At 43.2% G+C, this 23,016-nt stretch overlaps 1 protein-coding gene across 14 annotated transcripts in view, besides 1 other annotated feature; it reads right to left on the bottom strand.

The window, feature by feature from the left end:
- Positions 1–20,527, bottom strand: part of ZSCAN20 (zinc finger and SCAN domain containing 20) — a 28,999-nt gene extending 8,472 nt beyond the window's left edge. For 2 of the 14 annotated variants that reach the window (NM_001377376.1, NM_001377377.1), the window contains exons 1-6: positions 20,481–20,527; positions 13,467–13,993; positions 4,521–4,707; positions 3,981–4,057; positions 3,570–3,654; positions 1,470–2,147 (exon numbers count right to left, since the gene is read on the bottom strand). In NM_001377376.1, coding sequence (NP_001364305.1) covers positions 1,470–2,147; positions 3,570–3,654; positions 3,981–4,057; positions 4,521–4,707; positions 13,467–13,883 — 1,444 coding nt within the window. In that variant the 5' untranslated portion in view covers positions 13,884–13,993; positions 20,481–20,527. Of the gene's footprint in view, positions 1–1,469; positions 2,148–3,569; positions 3,655–3,980; positions 4,059–4,520; positions 4,708–13,466; positions 13,994–20,480 lie in introns of those variants that run through there. The other 12 variants (NM_145238.6, XM_017002238.2, XM_017002237.2 and 9 more) reach the window with 9 other exon arrangements.
- Positions 22,270–22,564: a silencer, noted in NCBI's record as "tiled region #11456; HepG2 Repressive DNase matched - State 12:CtcfO". NCBI's record gives its function as "represses a minimal TATA promoter and a strong SV40 promoter by Sharpr-MPRA in HepG2 cells {active_cell/tissue: HepG2}" and the evidence as "EXISTENCE:reporter gene assay evidence [ECO:0000049][PMID:27701403]".

The following is a 23,016-nucleotide window of genomic DNA, read 5'->3' as shown; positions in this document are numbered from 1 at the left end:
AGTTGAGAACTGTGAGACTTAATGAGATGTGCCTAGGTCATCAGAGAATAAAGTCACCTGCCCTTCAAAATACCTAGAACATAGGCATGTCAGAAACTATCCAGGTACCTGGAGAATATCCCTTTGCTTCTCAGGGGCATGCTAGGACAGCCAGCCAGAGCTTCCCACCCTCACCCTCTTCTAAGAGATTCTATTAACACTTCAAGTCTTGGCTGAAGGTGAGGACTTAAGTAGCCATGTTATATCAATTATATCAGGTGATCCCATGTGCCTGGCTTTAGCTGATTAGTTCAGGGAAAGGCCTGTAATTGGGATGCATGTGATTTTCCCCATATTCACTCAATACCTGTACTCTATTTATTTTATAAATTCTCCTTTTTTTTTTTTTTTTTTTTTTGAGACGGAGTCTCGCTTTGCCGCCAGGCTGGAGTGCAGCGATGCAATCCTGGCTCACTGCAATCTCTGCCTCCTGGGTTCAAGCAATTCTCCTGCCTCAGCCTCCTGAGTAGCTGGGATTACAGGTGCATGCCACCACACCCAGCTAATTTTTGTATTTTTTTTAGTAGAGACAGGGTTTCACCATGTTGGCCAGGATAGTCTTGATCTCCTGACCTCGTGATCTGCCCACCTCAGCCTCCCAAAGTGTTGGGATTACAGGCGTGAGCCACCGCACCTGGCCATAAATTCTCCTTTTAACAAAACATGAAAGCTGAGAATTCCTAAAGATTAGAGGCATAAATGAGTTTCAAATAGTCCTGCAAGAAAGGCCAAATGAGGACACACTTTCCTCCTTTGCAGGGGAATGAAAAGGAGGTGGTCTAGTCTCAGCTCCTCTGCAGGAAAGTGATGTAGCCCAGGAAGGCAACATGGTGGAGGGAAAACCATGTGAAACCAGCAGGCAGGAGCCACAGGCTCTGATCCGGGCTCTGCTCCTACCTGTGCGTCTATAAGACGCCTCATCTCATGGACTTCCATGTTTGCACCTTTACAATGATTGGATGTTTCCCAGACATTGATTATTCAAGTCTACACTGTCGGGATTTCTGCCATTATCTGTTCAATATTTCACTCGCCATCACTCTTTACCTAACTTTGTTATCTGTGAAATCACAGGTTGATGCACTCATACAAATTAAGAGAAATATATAAATACAAGAATTTAAAGTTCATTCATGTAACGTCGATGATCATCCCATACTACCAGTGACACACTTTTGGAAATACTGGATTCACTCTTTGAGGCCCCTTAAGGCTTTAAAAATGTTTGCTTCTATAACTAAGAAGACTTTTGCAAAGAGACTTGGTCATGGGAAAAGAAAGTTGGAGTTTGAGGATGACCTAAGGAATGTAGCTCTTCACTCTAGTGGCTTCAATCCAGACTTGCAGCCTGTGCCCTGACCTCAGGGAATAGCAGTCTAGCTGGTAGGAGGGTTGGAAATCTGAATCTGACTAAACCCCCATGTTCTTACCAATACGACTCTGGAACAGAGCTGGGGCCCCTGCAATCCTGGGCCCCTGGGTAGACTCAACATTGACCAGGCCAGCACCGTTACAGTCTTCTGCCATTTCTTCAGGATCCCAGCCCCCTTCCTCCTGCTCATCCATCTCTGCGTCACTATACCCGAGCCTGGGAAGTGCCACGGCCTCTCCTGGGCCATCTGTGGCTCTGATGGCTGTCCGAGCCCTGACCAGGGCCTCCAGCTCCTCATAGAAGGGGCAGGTACCTGGTGGGTGGCTGCTCTTGGCTTTCCGGTAATTCCGTAGGAGGTTTTTGACCCTATAGCGACATTGCTCCAGTGTCCGCAGGAAGCCCCTTGCCCTTAGCTGCTCTGCAATGGCCCGATATACCTGGCGGTTCTGGTGACAAGTCCGGAGCTTTTCAGAGAAAGGAGATTCACTCAAAATTGCCAGGAAAGTCTTGGTCTCCTCATAGCCCCAGTGAACACCTGACACCTTCATGTCCTCCACATCCCACTGGTATTGTTCCTCCCAGGCTCTTGAATCCCTCCAGGTCAATGCCTGAGCTGGCTCATTATCCAGGCTGTAATCTGCAGTGCTCCTTTTCCCAGAATTTATAAGACTTAGACCCCAAAACTCTGGTCCTTGCTCTTTCTCGGAGGTATTACTTGGTTTTGAAACTGGAACTCCTACAAAAGGAAGAGAAATGACAGAGTAGAAATGGTCTGTTGAGCGGCATGTTTGTCCAAAATCTCCCTGAAACTTCTATCTTTTCCTTGCAAGAGGCTAACGAGAAATTCCCAAGTTGATCCCATAAAATGTTTACAGGAATAGGGAGAGAGAAGAGGTAACACGACCAATATATGAGAAATGTTAAGTGACCTGTTTACTTTGTTCATTTGTTTGTTGTTGTTGTTGTTATGAAACATGAAACATCATATAAGAGTAACTCATTGGTCCACAGATGGGCACATGGCCTAAATTGGCCCAATTAGACTGAACTCCATGGCTGGAGGAAAAGGGTGTGTGGTGTGTGTGTGTGTGTGTGTGTGTGTGTGTGTGTTTGTGTGTGTAGTGAGTCTCTGTCCTGCTAGGCATCCATTGCCACCATTGGCATCTATCTTTTGACCATGAAACAAAACAGCTTTAATATGAAGCTAACACTGAGGATGGCAGACAGAAATAAAGAACACAGACCCATTAAGACATTGCTCAGCTAGTCTGTACTGTGGCTGGAGCATGTCCTCCTCTGGACTTCTAATAATGTGAGAAAATAAATTTCCTTATTTTTAAAAGTTAGCTATGTTTAATGGACTGCTATCCCAACAGCTCCCGGCCCTAACAAAATAGGAAGCCTTTAATTGAAATAAATATTTGAAGAAAACTAGATGAAAAGGGTTTAAAGAGGTATAAGGATAATTTAATTCACCGTTTCCCAAAATCTGTTCCTTTGAACACTATTTCCCCCAGATATCATGTGTAAAAAGGGGTTCCACTGTCAAGCAAGTAGCCAGCGAGCTTCTGGTATCTAAACTTACCATGAGTCAGGCCTATCAGAGTCTTTTCTATTTCAGCTATTCACATGTCTAACTCCCCACACAGTGATCCCGGGCTCCACAGGGAAACGGCTCCCTATTATTTGGCTTGCCACATAGGAGTGCCCACATAGAAAGGAGTCTGTGCTGCTTATATGGGCTTCAGGTATTTTGGGCTCTGTGATATTTATTCCTATTGGGTTTAATTCATTGGTCTCATGGGTTTAGTTCACTTAAGTCTGCCTGAGAGAGAGATCCTATTTACAGTGCTAAAAAAAATCAGATTTCTGAGATGGCAGTCCAGGCCTGGCCCCTGGACTGTGGTGAATGGACTGAGGTAAGGAAGGTAATGTGCCCAGAGAGGGCAGGCTCTTGGAAGCCATCCTGCCACCCCGTCTCCAGGCAGACTCCATCCCTGCCATGAGAGTGCTGGCTACAAAGGGCAAGTCTTCTTCCTATTTCTGAAATTCCAGAGACTGCAGAGCCATGATTCTTAAAGGAGCGGCAAAACCCTCTTTGGGAACTGGGTGTATCAGAAGCATGACAACATCACCTTCAGAGGGTACGTCTCCTTACCCAGGCACACGCTGTTCCCACAGTCGTCTCCTGGGGGGTCTTTACAGAGCTCCTTCTCAGCATGTTTGCCAGGGCCCAGGGCTTCCTGCGAGATGCACAAGACAAGGACCCCAAACATCACTGACCTTTGACAACAGCCTAGGAACCCTAGCAGGCTCCCAGGAAAGATGATGGGAACAGAGGGATACCATGTGTGAAGCTGGCATCATAAGGAGCAGGATGGCCATTTGGTACATACATGTGTTTGGGGATGTTTGGGGCCCAGCAGGCTGGGGGTGAAGGGCAAAGGCTAACACCCTGGGCCTCATGCCCTTTTGCTGAGCAGAGGTCATGGAGAGAGAGGAGGAACACTGTGGGGGCAAGAGCACAGGAGCAGCAATGACAGGAAAGGAAGAACGAGTAACAGCTTACCTGGGACTCAGCTGTCACCTCCCAATCTCCAACGCTCCCCATCTTTGGGAGAGTAGGGACTCGGGGAGTGAGGACAGCTGAGGAAAAGAAAAAGTCACTGAAACCCAAGCTCTGGTTCCCAAAAAATCACCTCCCTTTGAGATTGGCTTTCCAAAAGTAACACTTGGATCAAGCTAGGGCTATCCCTATGGCCAGTGCAGACTTCCCCTTTACTTCCCTTCTAGAGTGTGTAGCTCCTAAGCTGCTGTGAGTGGTGTGCCATGTGGGAGATGCCAGCCCTGACCTCCTGTGATCACCACCCACCCCTGTCCCAGCCTGCACCTGCTGCAGGACTCCAGCTACAGCAGGGCATGATGACATCATCGATAGGCACAGCCTCTTTACGAGGCTTGCTTACTTCTCAGTAAGTGTGCCCACCACACTGCAGCCTATCCCTTGCTTTGAATTCTGCACATCCTTCTTCCCCATGCACCCTTCCTCACCTCCCATCCCTCTCCCCTGCAGAAGGCCTCATTCCCTAATGTTCTCAGATGTACTCACCACTCTCTTTCAAAGGCTGTGGTGCCACCTCGGCATTTAGGTGATTGGGAAGGTCAGGGCATGTATTCTTCACCCCCTTCTTCTGGGACTGTCCCTCAGGCCAGGGATCCACTGGCTGCAGCTGGAAGCTCTGAGCTTCTTCCCCTGTCTTTAAGGGCCTGGTCTCTTCTGTATGCAATTCCAGTCCCTACACACAAATAGTCAAAATTCCCAATCAACAATTCAGTAAGACCCACTTTGGTATTTTGAGTACAACTGCAGTCCAGAGGCTAACAGGCTCTTTTAAGATCCAAAATGGCTTGAAATAGGATGAGAAAGCCATCAGAGTGAGTTTGGTAGGTAGACCAGCATTTATACCACCAAATGAGTACCATCTGTTGAACACAGGGTGGCGATCCAAGTGTTTCAATGAGAGTCCCACTGTTCAAAACATTTTTGATTCATAAAGAGATAAATTATGTAAAATTTGTGTAACATTAAAAAATAACCCATAAGCATCAAAAATAGGTTGCTTACTTTTTAAATGATCAAAAAAAGATAAAAGTTATCAAGTTGTATATTAAAAGGCAAAGGGAGGCATAAAAACAGGAAAAAAATATAAAATTATAACCCCAAATGCAATTGCTCTAAATATCTCTGCTGAAAGAGAAAGATATTTTTAAAATAAAATTTTTAAAAAGGACAAAGAATTACAGATGGAGGCTGGGTGCAGTGGCTCATGCCTGTAATTCTAGCATTTTGGGAGGCTGAGGCAAGGGAATCACTTGATGCCAAGGGTTCAAGACCAGCCTGGGCAACATAGCAGACCCTCACCTCTATAATAAATAAATAAATAAATAAAATTAACCAGGCATGGTGGCACATGCCTGTACCCCCAGCTACTCAAGAGGCTGAGGCAGAAGGATCACTTGAGCCCAGAAGTTTGAAGTACCAGTGACCTATGATCATGCCACTGCACTCCAGCCTGGACAATGGAGTGAGAACTTGTCTCAAAAAAAGAAATTAGATGGAATTTTAAAATGAGATAAAAGTACGTGTTGTTAATCTTACAATAGAAGGACATGCAAAAGACAAGGCACTCTAACTCAAAAGGAAAAAGGAAGTGGCAATTTTCATTTCAATGTTGGATTTCAGGCAAAAAAAAAAAAGGTACTCAGAGATATAGATATTTAAAATAAAAGGGAGTAATCAACTAAAATAACATTACCCAATCAACTTCATCAATCACACAGCTAATTTCTTATCTCTATTTCTCAGCTGGTTCCAAGTTCACAGGTAGAGAGGTCAAGGTGTTACCCAGGCTATAAAACCTCCAAAATATAACAATCTCAATACTTTATAGAAACACCTAACTTTTAAAAACATATTTCAATTTTTTTCAATAGATAATAGACTCACATGGTTTAAAAACAGAAAATACATACATGGGTATATTCAGTGAAAATGCCCCACCTCCATCCATCTTCATCCCATCGACCCCGTTCTTTTCCCCTCTCCTCATCACAGGTAACTATGCTCTTCTGCATTCTTTTAGAGTTTCTTTCTACATACAAGCAAATGTAAATGTGTATTCTTAGCTTCCCTCTTTTTTATACAAAAACTTATGACTAGATATACTGCTCTGAGTCTTATTTTTTTGAACCAAAATAATAACAACTATCTTCATTAAATTACTGAGTTTGCCAAACTTAGCTCCAAAACTTTTTTGGCTGGCCTGAAAATTCAGATCCACTCACAGAGAAGGATTTTTACCATTGAGAAGACATATAGGAATGGGCCATGAGCATCAAGGGCCATTCCAAATAAGAAGATCCACCAGTGTCCTGTGTGACTTCACAGGGAGAAAGCATCTGCTTATCAATCTTCTTATATGGTCATGTTAAAAAAAAATTCACTTTGTTATCATTATAACCTACAGAGGAACTGTGTGACTAAATTCAACAACAATCTTTACTCTCAACCCCAGTGCCTCCAACTATTACCATCCCTAAGCAAAGATTCTGATTCCATGGATGGTAATTTTGGACACAGAAAGAAGTAGATTCAAGTGACAACCAGGAGACAAAAAATTAGTAGGTCAGACTTCTAGTTTCCAAGAAGTCTGTAGTCTACAAGTTGCCCCTCTAGACTCTACAGTAACAAGTAAAAAGCTGAACAAACTGAAAAATCAACAACTCTCCTTAGATCTGTCAGAGAAGTGAGGTCACAGGGCAAACCATTCTCCCCAAAATTGGAGAGACAAACAGGTAGAATCAGAGAATCACAACTTAGTGGAGCAGAAGCCTCTGTGGGAACCAGTTCCAGGGGAGAAAAACCTAAACTGTAATTGATGAACTGCTGGAAGGTCAGTGTGGACAACTCTGAGAGGTAAAAACTCCAGGGCACTTAATCACTGAGCAGGGGCACATTTTTGTAAGTTTTATCTCCAGGAGCTCAACCAGACCCTCACAGTGAATATCAGAGAAAAATCTCTTCATGCTTATGGCAGATGGCAGGAAAAAAGAACCATTTTGAAATATGCCAGGGCACTCTGCTCTTCTTAATAAGTCCTGTCCTCAGCAGAAACTATTTTACCAAAGCCTAACCTAACTGTCGGAAGAGAAATATGCAATTCCAGCTCCCTCTGCTCTTCCACATGCAAGATAAGAAATACCCAGTGCAGCCCCCTTTAGGCATCCTGTCCCACCTAAGATGGGAAAAAATTGAGAAGCACTGGCAAAGGTCAGAGTCCAGGGACACAGGTACACCAATATAAGACCTAGAAAAAAGAAGAGCAAATTAAATCCAAAGTAAGCAGAAGAAAAGAAGTAAAAATTAGAGCAGAAATAAATGAAATTTAAAATGGGAAATCAATAGAGAAAATCAACAAAACCAAAAGCTAGTTCTTTGAAAAGATTAATAACATCAATAAGCCTCTAGTCAGACTAAGAAAAAAGACAGTCCAGGCACGATGGCTCACACATGTAACCCCAGCACTCTGGAAGGCCAAGGTGGTGGATCATTTGAAGCCAGGAGTTCAAGACCAGCTTGGGAAACGTGGTGAAATCCCATCTCAACAAAAAAAAAATATACAAAAGTTAGCTGGGCATGGTGGTGTGGTCCTGTAGTCCCAGCTACAGGGGGCTGAGGCAGGAGGGTTGCTTAAGTCCAGGAGGCAGAGGGTGCAGTGAGCCAAGGTCCCACCACTGCACTCCAGCCTGAGTAACAGAGAAAGAACCCGTCTCAAAAATAAAAAAGAAAAGAAGACAGAAGACAAATTATTAATATCAGAAATGAAAACAGAGACATCACTACAGATCCCATAGACACTGAAAGTATAATAAAGGAATATTATGAACTACATAAAGGTTAATAAAGGAATATCTATGGCCACACACTTGACAACCTAGATGAAAAAGACCAATTCCTTTACCCACCCCATCTGCCAAAACTCACACAAAAATAAACAATCTGAAGAGGCCAATATCTATTAAGGAAATTGACTGAATAATTAATAACCTTCAAAACACAAAGCACCAAGCTCAGATGGGTCCACTGGTGAATTCTACCAAACATTTAAGGAAGAAATTATAACAATTCTCTACTATCTCTTCCAGAAGATAGAAGCAGAGGGAATATTTCCTTATTTAGTCTATAAAGCCAGCATTTACCCTAATACCAAAACCAAAGAAATTACTTACAAGACAAGAAAGCTACAAACCAATATTCCTCATGAACAAAGATGCAAAAATCAGCTGGGTGTGGTGGCTCAGACCTGTAATACCAGCACTTTGAGAGGCCAAGGCAGGCAGATCACCAAGTCAGGAGTTTGAGACCAGCCTGGCCAATATGGTGAAACCCCATCTCCACTAAAAATACAAAAATCAGCTGGGTGTGGTTGCAGATGCCTGTAGTCCCAGCTACTCGGGAGGCTGAGGCAGGAGACTCACTTGAACCCAGGAGGCAGAGGTTGCAGTGAGCTGAGATCATGCCACTGCACTCCAGCCTGGGCGACAGAACCAACAAGACTCCAGCTAAAAAAAAAAAAAAAAAGATGCAAAATCCTCAATAAAATATTAGCAAATCAAATCCAACAATGTATAAAAAAGAAATTACACACCACAACCAAGTGGTATTTATCCCAGGTATGCAAGCCTGGTCCAACATTTGAAAATCAATTAATGTAACCCATCACATCAACGGGCAAAAAAAGAAAAATCACATGATCATATATTATATCAACAGATGCAGAAAAAGCATTTGACAAAATCCAACACACATGATAAAAACTTGGCAAACTAGGAATAGAGGGGAACTTCCTCAACTTGATAAAGGACATCTACAAAAAACCTACAGCTAACATCCTACTTAATGGTAAGAAACACAGTGCTTTTGCACTAAGATCAGGAAAAAGGCAAGGATGTTCTCTCTCACTATTCTTTCATACTGGAAGTCCAGACTAATACAAGATAAGAAAGGAAACAAAAGGTACGTAGATTGGGAAGAAAGAAAAAGACTCTTTGTTCACAAATGACACGATTGTCTATGGAGAAAATCTAAAAGAATCAACAAAAAAAACTTCTGGGAACTAATAAGCAGTTATAGCAAGGCTGCAGGGTACAAATATGCAAATATGCAAAAGTCAATCGCCTTCCTATATACCAACAATGAACAAGTAGAATTTGAAATTAAAGGCATAATAACATTTACATTCTCATCCAAAAAAAATGAAATATTTAGGCATAAATCTAAGAAAATATGTAGAAGATTTACATGGGGAAAACTACCAAAGAAAGGCATCAAAGAAGAACTAAATAAATGGAACAATATTCCATGTTCACAGATAGAAAGGCTCACTGTAGTCAAGATGTCAGCTTTTCCCAATTTGATCTACAGATTCAACACCCAATCAAAATCACAGAAATTTATCTTGTGGATATCAACAAACTGACTGTAAAGTCTTTTTTTGTTCGTTTGTTTTTCTTTTTTTTTTTTTCAATAGCAATGGGGTTTCATCATGTTACCTAGGCTGTTCTCAAACTCCTGGGCTCAAGCAATCCACCCATTTCGTCCTCTCAAAGTGCTGCGATTACAGGTGTGAGCCACTGCACCTGGCCATGTGCAGTTTATATGAAGAAGCAAAGACCTGGAATAACCAACTCAATATTGAAGGAGAAGGAAAAAAATCAAAGAAATGACACACCTGACTTCAAGATTTACTATAAACTATAGTAATCAAGACAGTGTGGTATTGGCAAAAGAATAAAGCGATCAATGGAACAGAATAGAGACCCCAGAAATAGTCCCACATAAAGATAGTCGACTGAACTTTGATAAACGAGCAAAGGTAATACAGTGAAGCAAATATATTTTCAACAAATGATACTAAAACTGGACATCCACATGAAAAAAAAAAAAAGCTTCTATCCTATCCTTCACAAAAATCAACTCAAAATGGATCACAGACCTTAACGTTAAAATGAAAAACTATAAAATTCCTAAAATATAGGAGAAAACTGAGATAATGTCAGGTATAGCAATGACTTTTCAGATACAAAATCAAAGGCATAATCCATGAAAGAAATAATTGATAAGCTGGACTTCGTTAAAATTAAAAAATACTGCTCTATGAAAGATACTGTCAAGAGAATGAGAAGACAAGCCACAGACTGGGAGAATATATTTGCAAAACACATATCTGATAAAGGACCGTTACCCCGAACATACAAAGAACTCTTAAAACTCAAGAGTAAGAAGACAAACAACCCAATTTAAAAATGGGCAAGACTTTAACAGTCACCACACCAAAGAAAATATACAGATGGCAAGTAAACATATGAAAACATGTATAACATGGTAGGTTATTGGTGAATTGCAAATTCGAACAACAATAAAATACCACTATCTACCTATTAGAATGGCCAAAATCCAAAACACCAAATGCTGGCAAGGATGTGGGGCAACAAGAACTCCCATTCATTGCTAGTAAAAATGCAAAATGGTACAGCCACTTTGGATGACAGTTTGGCAATTTCTTACAAAGGTAAACATACTCTTACCATATGATCCAGCAATCATGTCCCTTGGTATTTACCCAAATGAACTGAAAACTAGGTCCACACAAAAACCTGCATATGAATATTTACAGCAGCTTCATACATAACTGCCAAAACTTTGATGGAACCAAGATGTCCTTCAGTAGGTGAGTAGATAAATAAACTGTGGTACATCCACACAACGGAATATTGTTAAGCATTAAAGAGAAATGAGCTAACAAGCCATGAAAAGACGTGGAGGAAACTTAAATGTATACTACTAAGTAAAAGAAGCCAATCTGAAAGGGCTATATACTGTATGATTCCAACTATGTAACATTTTTTAAAAGGCAAAACTATGGAGACAGTATAAAGATCGGTGTTGCCAGGGGTTGGGGGGAAGGAAGAATAAACAGGTAGAACACAGAGGGTTTTTACAGCAGTGAAGCTACTCTGTATGTCACTACAATGGTAGATACATGTTACTATGTCACTATGATGGTAGATACAGTTTATAATAGGGCTCTTAATGTCATACATTACAGAATGAATAACATTAAGAGCCCTAACATAAACTGCTACTTTGAGTGATGATAATGATGTATCACTGTAGGTTCATCAATGGTAATAAACATATTGCTCTGGTGCAGGGATGTTGATAGTTAGGGAGGCTTGTCGGGGAGGGATGGGAACTCTCTGTACCTTCTGCTCAATTTTGCTGTGAGTTTGAGCCTAAAATTGCTCTAAAAAATAAAGCCTGTTTTTTAAAAATCCCTGTGCACCTGATGGAGAGGGGGCATCTGACAGAGAGGGGGATTCAACAAGATGGTGATGACAGAAGAAACAAGTAACAATCACAAAATAGCAGAGCTGAAAGATCCCTTTTAGGAAATTACCTTAGGGGCCATTTAGTCCTGTAGGCACCAACCTTTTTCAGGTTCACTTTGAGGAATATTATAACTATATTTCATCCCATTATTAAGACTTGAAAAATTTTACTTGCAGAGAATGCAACTAAGTTATATATCTTGCAATGTAAGATCACAAGCTACATTTGCACCTGAAAAAAACAAGCTCCTCTGCTACTTGTCCATTTGTTTTGAAATTTGTGACCACTCAGGAGCAGGTAGGAAAGTTTAAAAATAAAAAAAGTCACAGTAAAAACAAAAATACATAATAGACAAGATTCCATTACCTTATTTTTTTCTCAATTTTAGAAGCAGTTCAACTTTTGGTCAGCTCACAGGGGCATAATTTGAGAACCTTTGGTCTAATCCAACCCTCTCATTTTACAGATGAAGAATCATAAAGACCTTGATTTAAATCCGTTTTCATCTCTGGGTCTCAAGTTCTTTATGTCCCAACTCTGAAGCCCTAAAACTTCCATTTGTTTCTTCACTGCCACTTAAGACAAACAGCTGGTTTCTTTAAAAGAAATAATATAGGGGGGTGGGGAGGTACATTAAAATAAGGCACACTCTCTCATACTTAGTTCTGTAACTTTATATATTAGTCTCCCTGTATCTTCAATCAGTTTGTAAAGGAATCCAAAGAGCAAAGTCACCGGTCTAAAACCTTTGCTCCCCCAACCTCACACTGTATAGAACTTTACAGTTTAAATGTACAGAAAACCCCTGCCATTTGCAAGGGATATGTTCCCAAACCTGTAATTTCCCCCAGCAAAATGGGGGTAAGTAAAATATCACAAGAATTACTAACTATAACAAGTAGAGAAAAAGTCATGTTTAGAGGAAGGTTCTGGATCCAGCTAAAGGATCTGTTCTACATATACCAGCTTTGAAGCAGGATTCAAAATGTGTGTCATAGCAAAATTATGCATTATATCATGGGCTTTCAGCGGTCACTTGCAAATTGTTGAAACTGCGAATGTTAAATCCATACTTTCATTTCCCTTACCTCAGCTCTATCACGTAGTTATATAAAGTTAGATAAGTTACTTACCTCTCCATCTCTGTTTACCCATTTGGCAAATGGCAATGATAATAGCACCTACCTTATTGGATTGCTGGGTTGATTAGATGAGGGCTATATATATAAGCTTAGACCAGTATCTGACACACAGTGAGTGCTCACAAAATGTCAACTAATATCTCATTTGAGCCTCATGGCTCAAAGGTATTTTAATTCCCATGGTTTGCAGAGGAGGCATCTGACATGCAGTAGAAAGAACAATGACCTTGGAACCTAAGGATTTGGCTTTAGGCTCTGGTCTATTCACTGATGACCTTTGTGGGCCACTTGGCATTTTGTTTTGTTTCGTTTGTATTTTTTGTAGAGACAGGGTTTCACCATGTTGCCCAGGCTGGTCTTGAACTCCTGAGCTCAAGCAATCCACCTGCCTCAACCTCCCAAAGTGCTAGGATTACAGGCGTGAGCCACCACTCCCGGCCAACTTTTTGGCTCTTAGTTTAATCTATAAAATGGGGACAACAGTACTATTTCTGTCTACCTACATTACTGCTATAAGCACTCAGAGACATCACATATGCAGAAAGATTTTGTTAAGTATAAAACACGAGTTAATCATATTGTGAATACGGTAGTGGGAGGCAGTTTGGAGTAGTGGTTAGGCATACCAGCTTTAGAGTTAGAATGCCTGAGTTCAAATCCTGACTCTACCATCTAGCAGCTGTTGAGACCCTGGGCAACTTACCTATCTTTTCTCTGTCTCTGTTTTCTCACTGGTAAAATTAGGATAATAGCACCTATCTCATTAAATTGTTGACAGGACTAAGTGGGTTAATACATGTAAAGCACTTAGAACACTTCCTGGTATACAGTAGTGGTCAATAAGTGTCAGTTCTCAATAACTATTGTTATTTTTATTGTGAATTTGGCAATTATTAACGTAGTCACAACCCTGCTGCCTTGCCTGACCCACTCCTCTGCAGGAGAAGACTGTTTGTCTCACCGACTGTCCTGCAGTCCTGGTCTCTCGGTGCCAATCCTCCACCAAGGCCACAGCCTCCTCACCACTCTCAGGGTGGCGTGCCTGCACCCAGGTCTGGACCTCCCTAGGCAAGATAGTCAGGAACTGCTCCAGCACGAGCAGCTCCAGGATCTGCTCTTTGAGACGGATCTCCGGCCTCAGCCAACGACAGCAGAGAGCCCAGAGCTGGCTGAAGGCCTCGTGGGGTCCAGCTGCATCCCTGTATTGGAATTGCCTGAAGCGCTGGCGGGAGGCCTCTGGGCCAGAGACAGAGCCACGGTCCTTCTCCCAGAGTTTGGATTCTGATCCCCAAGAGTCCTCTTCCAGTTTCACAATCAGGAGTTCTTCAGGCTCTGGCTGCGGAGATGCCTGGGCTTGCAATTCCAGGGCCATAGCCATTGTCTAACCCAGACACCTCACTTCAGCTATGCTGACCTCATCCAATGTCTTCCTGCATCTACGGTGAGTCCTTCAAGAGGCTCCTAGAAAAGGGACTGCTCCCCAAGGCTCTAAGGCAGAAAGACAAAGGATAGAGTGTGAGCAAAAGGATGCAGAAGCTTCATTCTCCCCCTTCCCCCATATCTTCCGCCACCTTTGCATGGGGGCAGAGGTGCTAAGAGATGCCCCTTTCCCATAGGCAGGAAGTAAGGCCACAATCTGGCACCAAAGCCAGTAGCACCTACCTTACTTGACTGCTGGGTTGATTAGATGAGGGATCTATATATAAAAAGCTTAGACCAGTGTCTGACACAGTGAGTGCTCACAAAATGTCAATTAATATCTCATTTGAGCCTCACACTTTGGAGGAAGACAGCACTGTATTCAATCCTCTAGGTCATGCCTGAACACCTTAGCCTGGCATCCCACACCTCCATGATCTGGTCCAGTGTAGACTTCCTCCCTTCTACACATGTCCAAAGTCCAACCTTCCCTCAAGTTGGGTTCCAAATGTCACCCCCTTCCTAAGGCCTTTCTTCCCTAATCTTAAAGCTTGGCTGGCATTCCTCTAAGGATGTTCTCCTTGCAAAATCCAACAACTCTATGCTATCCCCTGGTCATCCCACCTATTTGGCATTATTCATCATCCCTATACATGACTCCTAAAACTCCAGCAAGGACCTGTTTCCAGACCTCCAGACCCCAAAATCCAAACCCCTTCATGACACTTCTACTTGACTGTCCCTTAGGCACCTCAAACTCAATGAGTCAAAAACTGGATTTGTTATTTTCTCCTGCAATCATGTCTGCCTTCTGAAGCTCCCCCTTCAGTGAAGGCACTGCCATCAAGTTCTCCACACCAGAAACCTGGTCATCATCATTCTCTAAGATCCCCAAATCCAATTCATCACCACGCTGTGTCCACTTGGCATCTCCATCTCCAATGCTACCACTTCAGTGCAGAGAATCATCATGTCTTCCACCTGATCAGTCTCCTAACACGTCCCTGCCTCCACTCACCTCACCCCAACCTCTGCTCTATTGTTTGCACAACAACCAAACTAGATCAAAGCCTGACTACACCACCTCCCTGCTAAACACCCTCCAGTGATCTACCATTTCCCTCAGGACAAAGCACAAGCCTTACCCAAGTCTCCAACTCGTCTCTTTACCATGCTCCACTAGTCATGGTGCTCCAGAAGCACAGCTTCCAGATCTTACACCACGCTGCCCTCTGAACCTTCCCCTCTTTGGGAAGGTCTCCTTTGGGAATGGTCTCCTCCCTTCCTTCAGCTAGCAAGGTCTCAGCTTAAATTGCTCTTTTTCCGTAAGGCCTTCCCTGCACCCTGAAACAAGATTCAGTCCTCGACCACAAGCTCCCATAGCATCTTACATTTTCTCTACCATAGCCCAGATCATGCTTTACTGTAATTTTCTTACCCACTAGATCATTAGCTTCCCAAGAGACCTAGCACAGTGCTCAGCACATATAGGAAGTACTCAATAAATAATAAAGTCACGAATGATTGACTAATGATGATGGTGTGTCATTAAGCAAGGATTGCAATTAATCCCTTTCTGTGCACACTAGATAAAAAATAAATGACCTTCGCGCTCATGCCAAAAGGAATTCCTTTCTCTTTTATTTCCATGTCTCTGTGACACTTACCACTTTCTACACTGTATGAGACATTGTATGAGAAGGATGTGCGTATCTATGTGTGTCCCAGAGGAGATTACAGCCTCTCTGATGGCACCCATGCTGGGTTATTTGAAAAAATGAGCTCTCTGTGTCATCCCAACAAGTCTGGGTGACATAAAAAATGCCCACTCAAAGGAGATCATTAGCTGCTTCCAAGTGGGAATGACACAACTGAATTGAGAATGGAGAGATGGTGGTATTTTTCATTTTGGGCAATCTGACTGGACTGAAGAGAAACAAGACAAGGGTAATAAAAATTAAAGTCTTGCCCTAAAGGCCTCCATATGCTTAGGAAGAGGCTTAAAGCACAACTCATGGCTACCTGGCAGCTTCCTACTCATCCTTCAACCACCAGCTCAAATGTCACCTCCTTTGATAGGAGTTCCTTGACATGCCCTTTTCATGTCCTGCCCTCCAAGAATTGCCTCCCTGATCCTATATCACCAAAGCAATTGGTACATACCTCTAATATAGGTATTATCCTACACTATTGTAGTTACCTGTTACTATATCTGACACCCACATTATACTATATTACTAGAATCAGTATTGTATGTTACTAATTTCTGTATCCACAGTGCTCAACCCAGTATCTGATAAATAGCAGGGCCATTAAAAAGTTTTATTACCATGTATTAAAATGATAAACCTGGCGTATCAAAAGCCTAATGGGATACAGATATTCCATAATTTATATTAAACTAAACTATTTCTGTCTACCTACATTACTGCTATAAGCACTCAGAGAGATCACATATGTAGAAAGATTTTGCCTTTCATGAAATTTCTTTTTGAACCTAAAGAATTCGCCTTTCATGAAATTTCTTTTTGAACCACAACCTTATTGATGCATGAGTTCAAACACATTTCTGTCACCCTCTCACACAAGGAGCAATTCATCAATCATTTATAGAGTACCAGCTATACCCTGTTTGGAAGCTACAGATCTACCAGTAGCTGGGACTGACAGTCCCTACCTTCAATAAAATTACAGTCTAGTGAGACAGACAGTCAATAAGCAAGCAAAGACATTTGCGTTCCTGCACAAACAGGACACTACAACAAAATAGGCAATTAGCAGTCACACCAGGCCCAAAGCTCAGAGTCTCAGATAATAGGTATTTTCTCCTGGAAAGACTTGAAAGTCCCAAAGGTTTGTTTCAAATAGAAATCGGAAAGCCCCAGGGACCACATATCACCATAACCTTTTTTTTCTAAGGAACCATAACCGTAACTTTCTAAGGAAGTTAGACCGAAGTATGGATAGCAGGCTATTGTGGGGAGAGGGAGGCCAACAGAGTCGGCCAACAGCCGGGTGACTTCACACAGAAGTGAACAAGGGAAAATGGACCGGGGCATTCCTCAGTTCCGAGATGACCAGGAATATCGAGCCTCATTAGGACCAGCAATTTCTAAGAGTACCCCTTTACTGAGTGCCCACAAGGTGCCAGGCACAGTGCTGTGTTCCACATTCATAATCTCACTGAAGCCTCCAGGCAGCAACTGGAGTCTCATTAGGTGTTGAGCTGCATTTCACTGATCTGTAACTTCCACTGCAAAGATCAGAAAGAGAGAAAGAGGGCCGGGCGCGGTGGCTCACGCCTGTAATCCCAGCACTTTGGGAGGCCGAGGCAGGGAGATCACAAGGTCAGGAGTTCGAGACCAGCCTGGCCAACATGGTGAAACCCTGTCTCTACTAAAAATACAAAAAAAAAAAAAAAATAGCCAAGCGTGGTGGCTCGTACCTGTAATCCCAGCTACTCGGGAGGCTGAGGCAGGAGAATTGCTTAAACCCAGGAGGCGGAGGTTGCAGTGAGCTGAGATCGTGCCACTGCACTCCAGCCTGGGCAACAGAGCACGACTCTGTCTCAGAAAAAGAAGAAAAAAAAAAGAAAGAGAGAAAGAGCATGATTTAAATAGTGCAGCCAGTTGCGTTCACTATCTGTTCGAGAATAAGCATGTGGTGGTGGCACCTAGGACTTCGCTATTCACCAGGTTGGTCTTGATTCCCTCGTGCCTCTCTTTCCACTAAGTGTGAGTAAAGTGTCTTTCATACCGCACAGTCCCTAATACAAGCGAATTCTCATCTAATGTTCAAACAAGAAAGCCCAGCTGTGCTGATTAGTTTATTTATTGAAAGGCAGCGTGTTAGTTTCTGAAACGGCTCCTTGCCAAAGGATTTTCAAACTAACTGTGATTTTTGGCTAAAGTGATTTTCACCCTTAGAATATTATTATCTGATAAGGTATGACTGCACTATATCCTCAATTACCTAAAGGGAAACTGAGTGTTTATGAAGATTCACTTAAGGTTACACAACTAGCAAGTGGTAGAGTTAGGGTCTAAGCCGAGATCCCTTTTCTCCAATCATTTTTCTTAACCATGTCTTATAGCCTCCTCTATGTGTGCTAGTCATCCAAACTCTTAAGATGACAGTACGGGAGAATGGAAAGAACATTAAGGCAGGAGTGAGCAGACTGGGGTTCTAGTTCCACTCCTGCCACTAATCAGCTGTGTTACTTTGGACAAGTTATGTAGCCCCTGTGGCTGCCTAGCTAGGCTGCAGCTTACAGCCTGATCTTACTCAGCAGTTGCCCTAGGTTCCCCAATTAGTATGATGGGGTAGAGCAAGGGAGAAGGGAGACTAGAGTCAGTGGCTACAAGTTTAAATGGGTATAAGGACCTAGCAATGTAAATGAGTCAATGACTGAAATGAACTGGGTGGGCACTACAGCCAACTATAGAGTGCCAGGGGAACATATGCCCAGAATATTCCTAAGCCTGCTGATTTTTCCAAAAGAAACTAGCACTCTGGATTTTTAAATGTTGGTAACCAACTCAAAATTTTTTCACACACTATGAGATTAAATAAAGCATGATGGTGGACTTCATTCAGCATGGGCTGTCGCTTTGCCACTTAGATTCAGCTAAGTGATCTCAAAGCTCTCTTCCAATATCCAGAAAGACCTAGAAAGAGTACAGAGCCTCCCAGGTCATGAGGGATAAGTGCTGACTGCCATCAAAATCAAGATGTCTTTACAAACACAGGGAAGCTGAGGGGCATCTTGACTCCTAGGGCAGTAAGTATGAACGTGGTCATGAGGAGCCCACTCAGTGAAAAGGGAAGAGAAGATGCTCTCCAGTTCCACAGGAAAGGCCAAGACTGGTCTGTGACCTCCAAAGAGAAAAAACTGGGAACTCTTAAAGGCTGTCAGGCCCATTTGGCTGACAGTCCAAGCTATGGCTTAAAGCAGTCTGACCTGACCTCACACATAAGGGCTTAAGCCAGGGAGAGCAAATAGGTTTCATTTAAAGCAGAAACTTCAATCAACTGGAAGTGGCTGCCTAGAGTAGTGTGCTGAGGGCTCTGAGTACAGTGTGAATATGTGCTGAGAACCAACCAATTAGCCATGACTGCCAGGGACACAGGAAGGGGCACTGGCAGCACACATTCCATGTATTTGTCACCCCTGGCTTAAACTCCCATTGGCAATGAATCAGCTTCAGCTTCCAGCAGATAGCCTTGCCAGGCAGAGGAAGACTAAAGCTCCTGCCCTGGAAATCCACTGGCAATAGAAGTCTTCAAGGCTGGTATAGCAAAGCTTACCCTGCATGGTCTTCATTCACACATACATACATCAAGTATTTACTGCTTTACATCAAGTGTTTACTGCTCTAGACTGGGCAATGGGGAAACAGAGGTGATTGAGACACTGTTCCTGTCCTGGAGATGTTCACAGTCTAATGGAAGAGACACACACTTCACAGATAATTATGATCAAATGTGGTAATAGGAGAAGTTATGGGAGCTGAGGGTTGGGGGTGACTTAATTTGCTTAAGGGAATTGAGCAAAGTAAGAGTTGAAATTTTTTTAAGTTAAAGAAGTTCTCTTGGCAAAGAAGGTGAAGGGCAAGGAGAGAATATTCTAAGCTGAGAGAACAGCATATATAATGATGGAAAACCAAATGGCCTACCCAGGAAACGAGGAAAACCTTGACAGCCCTGGAGTGTGAGGTGCATGAAGATTAGGCTGCAAAAGGAGTTTATGAAGGACAAGGTGTTTGGACTTTACAGGTGCTGGGTGCCAATGAAAGTTTTCAAGCAGAAGGCATAATCAGATTTGTAGGTGAAACAGATCACACTAGGTGCAATGTGTGTGTTCATGCTGGGAAACTGAAAAGGCTTCTGCGAAAACCCTACAAGAAAGAGGCCGACTGAAAAGATATTAAAGAAATTAAAGATCGGAAGATCCTTGGACGTGGAAGAATGCAAGAGGAATCAGTGGGTAAGTAGGTAGGTAGGTAGGTAAATGGGATGATCGTGCCACTGACTTCCATAAGACATAAGGAAAGAAGTGCAGGTTTGGGGCAGAACACAATAGCCAGTCCCATCCACTGGGTTCCAGAGGTAACAATCATTAGGGAGGTAACAAATTAGATATGCTTGTTCTAGATGGGAAGGTAGAGATTGAAACACTATTTTTAAGGTCGGGCTTCAAGCTCAGGCCCTCTTCACTTCTTGCCAGGGCCCCAGACCCTCTATCCTTTCCTCTGTGGTCTCCAGACCTTTCTATGACTCTCCCACCTCCAAAACCTCCCTCAACCCCCTCACCTTCAGACCCTTCTAAGGCCCTCCTCATTCCCAGGGCCCTCTATCGCCTCCTCATCCCCGACCCCTGTATGACCCTTCCCATCTCCGGCCTCTACATCCTTTGACCGTCCCTCACCCTCCACCCCCACATATAAGCTTCTTTCTCCCCTCTCACCTTCCCCAGCCCCCTGTGTCACCACCACCTCCTAAGTCTCCAGCCCAGAGCCTGCGTCTCAGCTGCCCCCGCCCCGCCACCCGGACTCACCCACCGAGACACCCACTTCACAACAGGGCGGAAGTGCTCCCGGGCTCGTGCGGGGAATGCTGGGACGCGGAGTCCGAGCGGCGCCACCCTGGGAATGGAACGTCTGAGACCACAATTCCCAGAAGGAACCGCGCGAGCGCCGGGGGCGGCCCCCTCCGTTTGCTGCCTTTCAGACGTCTTCAGCCAATAGATATGTCATCTTCTAACGGACCCTGGCACTGGAACAAATCGGAACGGGCGCGACACATGGGGGCGGGACCTGTTGCGATCCTGGCCTTTTCCATAGGCTTCCGGATAACAGCACCGCCCAATGGGAGGGCACTCGAGCAGAAGGGGGCCCAGTTCTACTGAGGGGTCGAAGTGAGAGCCTCAGACCCTGAAAGATCAAAGCAGACACAATAAGAAATAAGAAGAGAGAATGACTAGAGGTGACCAGCCCGATAGGCAGGAGAGAACTGGACAGTTGTAGCTTTAATTTCCAGCTTACAGCTAAGCTGTGTGACTTTGGAAGAATTCTGAACCTCGTTCTCTTCAACCATAAAATGAGGGTAGTAATGGCATCCATGTCACAGAGTTTTGTGAACTTTCAATGAGATAATACACCTAAAACGATTAGCTCAGGGCCTGGCTCCTAATAATGCACAGCGATTGTTAGCTATTATTATGTAAATCAGTTAGTACAGAGCTTGGCACTTCCTAGGTGTTGGAAGAATGTTAATCATTATTACAAAATAATCCTCATATAAATGCGGGTGCTCTGTACCACTGTGAATACTTTGGGGCATGAACAATCTAATGTGGTGTTGAGAATGGGGGCTTTGTAGTCAGACATGGATCCAAATCCCAACTCAACTACTTCGCAGCTGTGTGGCCTTGAACAAATTACTGCCATCTATTTTGTCTTTGGAATTTTCATCTATAAAATGCAAGTAATGTAAGAGAACTTACATCACAGGGTGTTATGAAGGTTAAATGAGACTATTTAGGTAAAAGTCTCTGAAGTCAAGCTGCTTGTGTCTGAAAGTTCTTACTTTCAAATGAAGGATGCAGGTCATACCACCCGCGTTGTGAAACCTTGGGCAAATTACTTAGCTTCTTTATGCCTGCATTTTCCCAGCTGTAAAATGGGAATGATAATACTTGCCTCTTCCTGAGACAGTTGTTGAGAGGAATAAATGGGAGAAGGTATGTAAAGAGCGTGACACATGTCTGACACACAGAAAGTGTTTAATAATCATTAGCTAGTCCAGGCACGGAGGCTCATGCCTGTAATCCCAGCCCTCTGGGAGGCTGAGACGGAAGGATCGCTTTAGTCCAGGAGTTTGAGACCAGCCTGGGCAGCGAAGTGAGACCTCGTCTCTATTTTAAAAAATAGAAAATACAATAATATACATAATCATTAGCTATTATTATTATTACCAATGGTTATGCGGCTTAGGGAAAATTGACAATACCTAGCATCTGGTAAGAGCTCAATGCATGTTGGCTAGTGTTAAAATAGGAGAATTCTTAGCTTTAACGACCCAGTTTAAATTCCTTCTCTGTGAAACATGTTCCAACTTATTTGTAGTAATAACTCATGTGATTTTACTCAGTAAACATAATAACAACCCGTAAATACTCCTTGGTGTTGAAGTCTCACAGTAGCCCTATGAGATTGGTATTGTTTGCTCCACTTTACAAAGAGGGAATGAGACTTAGAGAAACGAAGTGACCTACTCAAGATCACAGAGCCAATAAGAACCAGGGCTGCGATTTGTCACCCCCTAGGCATGTGACTCCAAAGGTCCTACACTGCATGAGGAAGAGACCATATGTGGAAGTAGGAGGGTTTGAGATGGGGAGGGACAGTGCAACAGTGTGGGGTGCCAAGGGAGCCGGAAACATTTGAGAGAGTGTCAGGATCTGAAGCTGGAGAGGCAGCTTTGCAGGGTCAGGTAAGGACGTGTCCACTTCAGCATCATCTGCCCTAAGAGGAAGAAGGGAGGCGAGTGTGCAGAGAGAGGAGAGGACATCATTAGGACACAAGAGGGCGCGCCTCGCCCTCAATACAGCCTCGAATTATTCTATGGTTTCCCTTAGCCTTTGTCTAATTAAAGCCTGGCATTCTACAGAAGAGAAAAAACTAACGAAGTCCTCAAGAGGCCAACTGCCCTTTAGTGCCGTGTAGAAATAAGCAACAGAGCCTGAACCTGTTCCAGGTTCTCTCTGGTTCAGCACCCATCAGGATTTGGTTTGCAAGCGTTCTGTCTGCATTTGTCTACCAGGACTCTCTCTGATTTGGGCAGACACTAGGCTCTAAGGATGCAGAGATGAAGCAAACCTGGTCTCTGACCCCAGGGCCTGATCTCTAAACTTTCCCAATAGAGCGCTCCCATAAGTGAAGCCTTTTTGAGTTTTTGAGTTGAGCACACACTCCCAACATATGTGTATTTATTTACTTATAAATGATGTGCCTGTAATAGCTAACTTTCCTTGAACATTTGCAATGCATTATTAGGTCCTTCTCTCAGTGCTTTATATGTATTAACTCATT

This window comes from Homo sapiens, chromosome 1 (genome assembly GCF_000001405.40).
Source record: "Homo sapiens chromosome 1, GRCh38.p14 Primary Assembly".
Lineage (NCBI taxonomy): Eukaryota > Metazoa > Chordata > Mammalia > Primates > Hominidae > Homo > Homo sapiens.
Note: the sequence above shows the minus strand (reverse complement) of the source record. Positions and strands in the feature narration are given on the sequence as shown.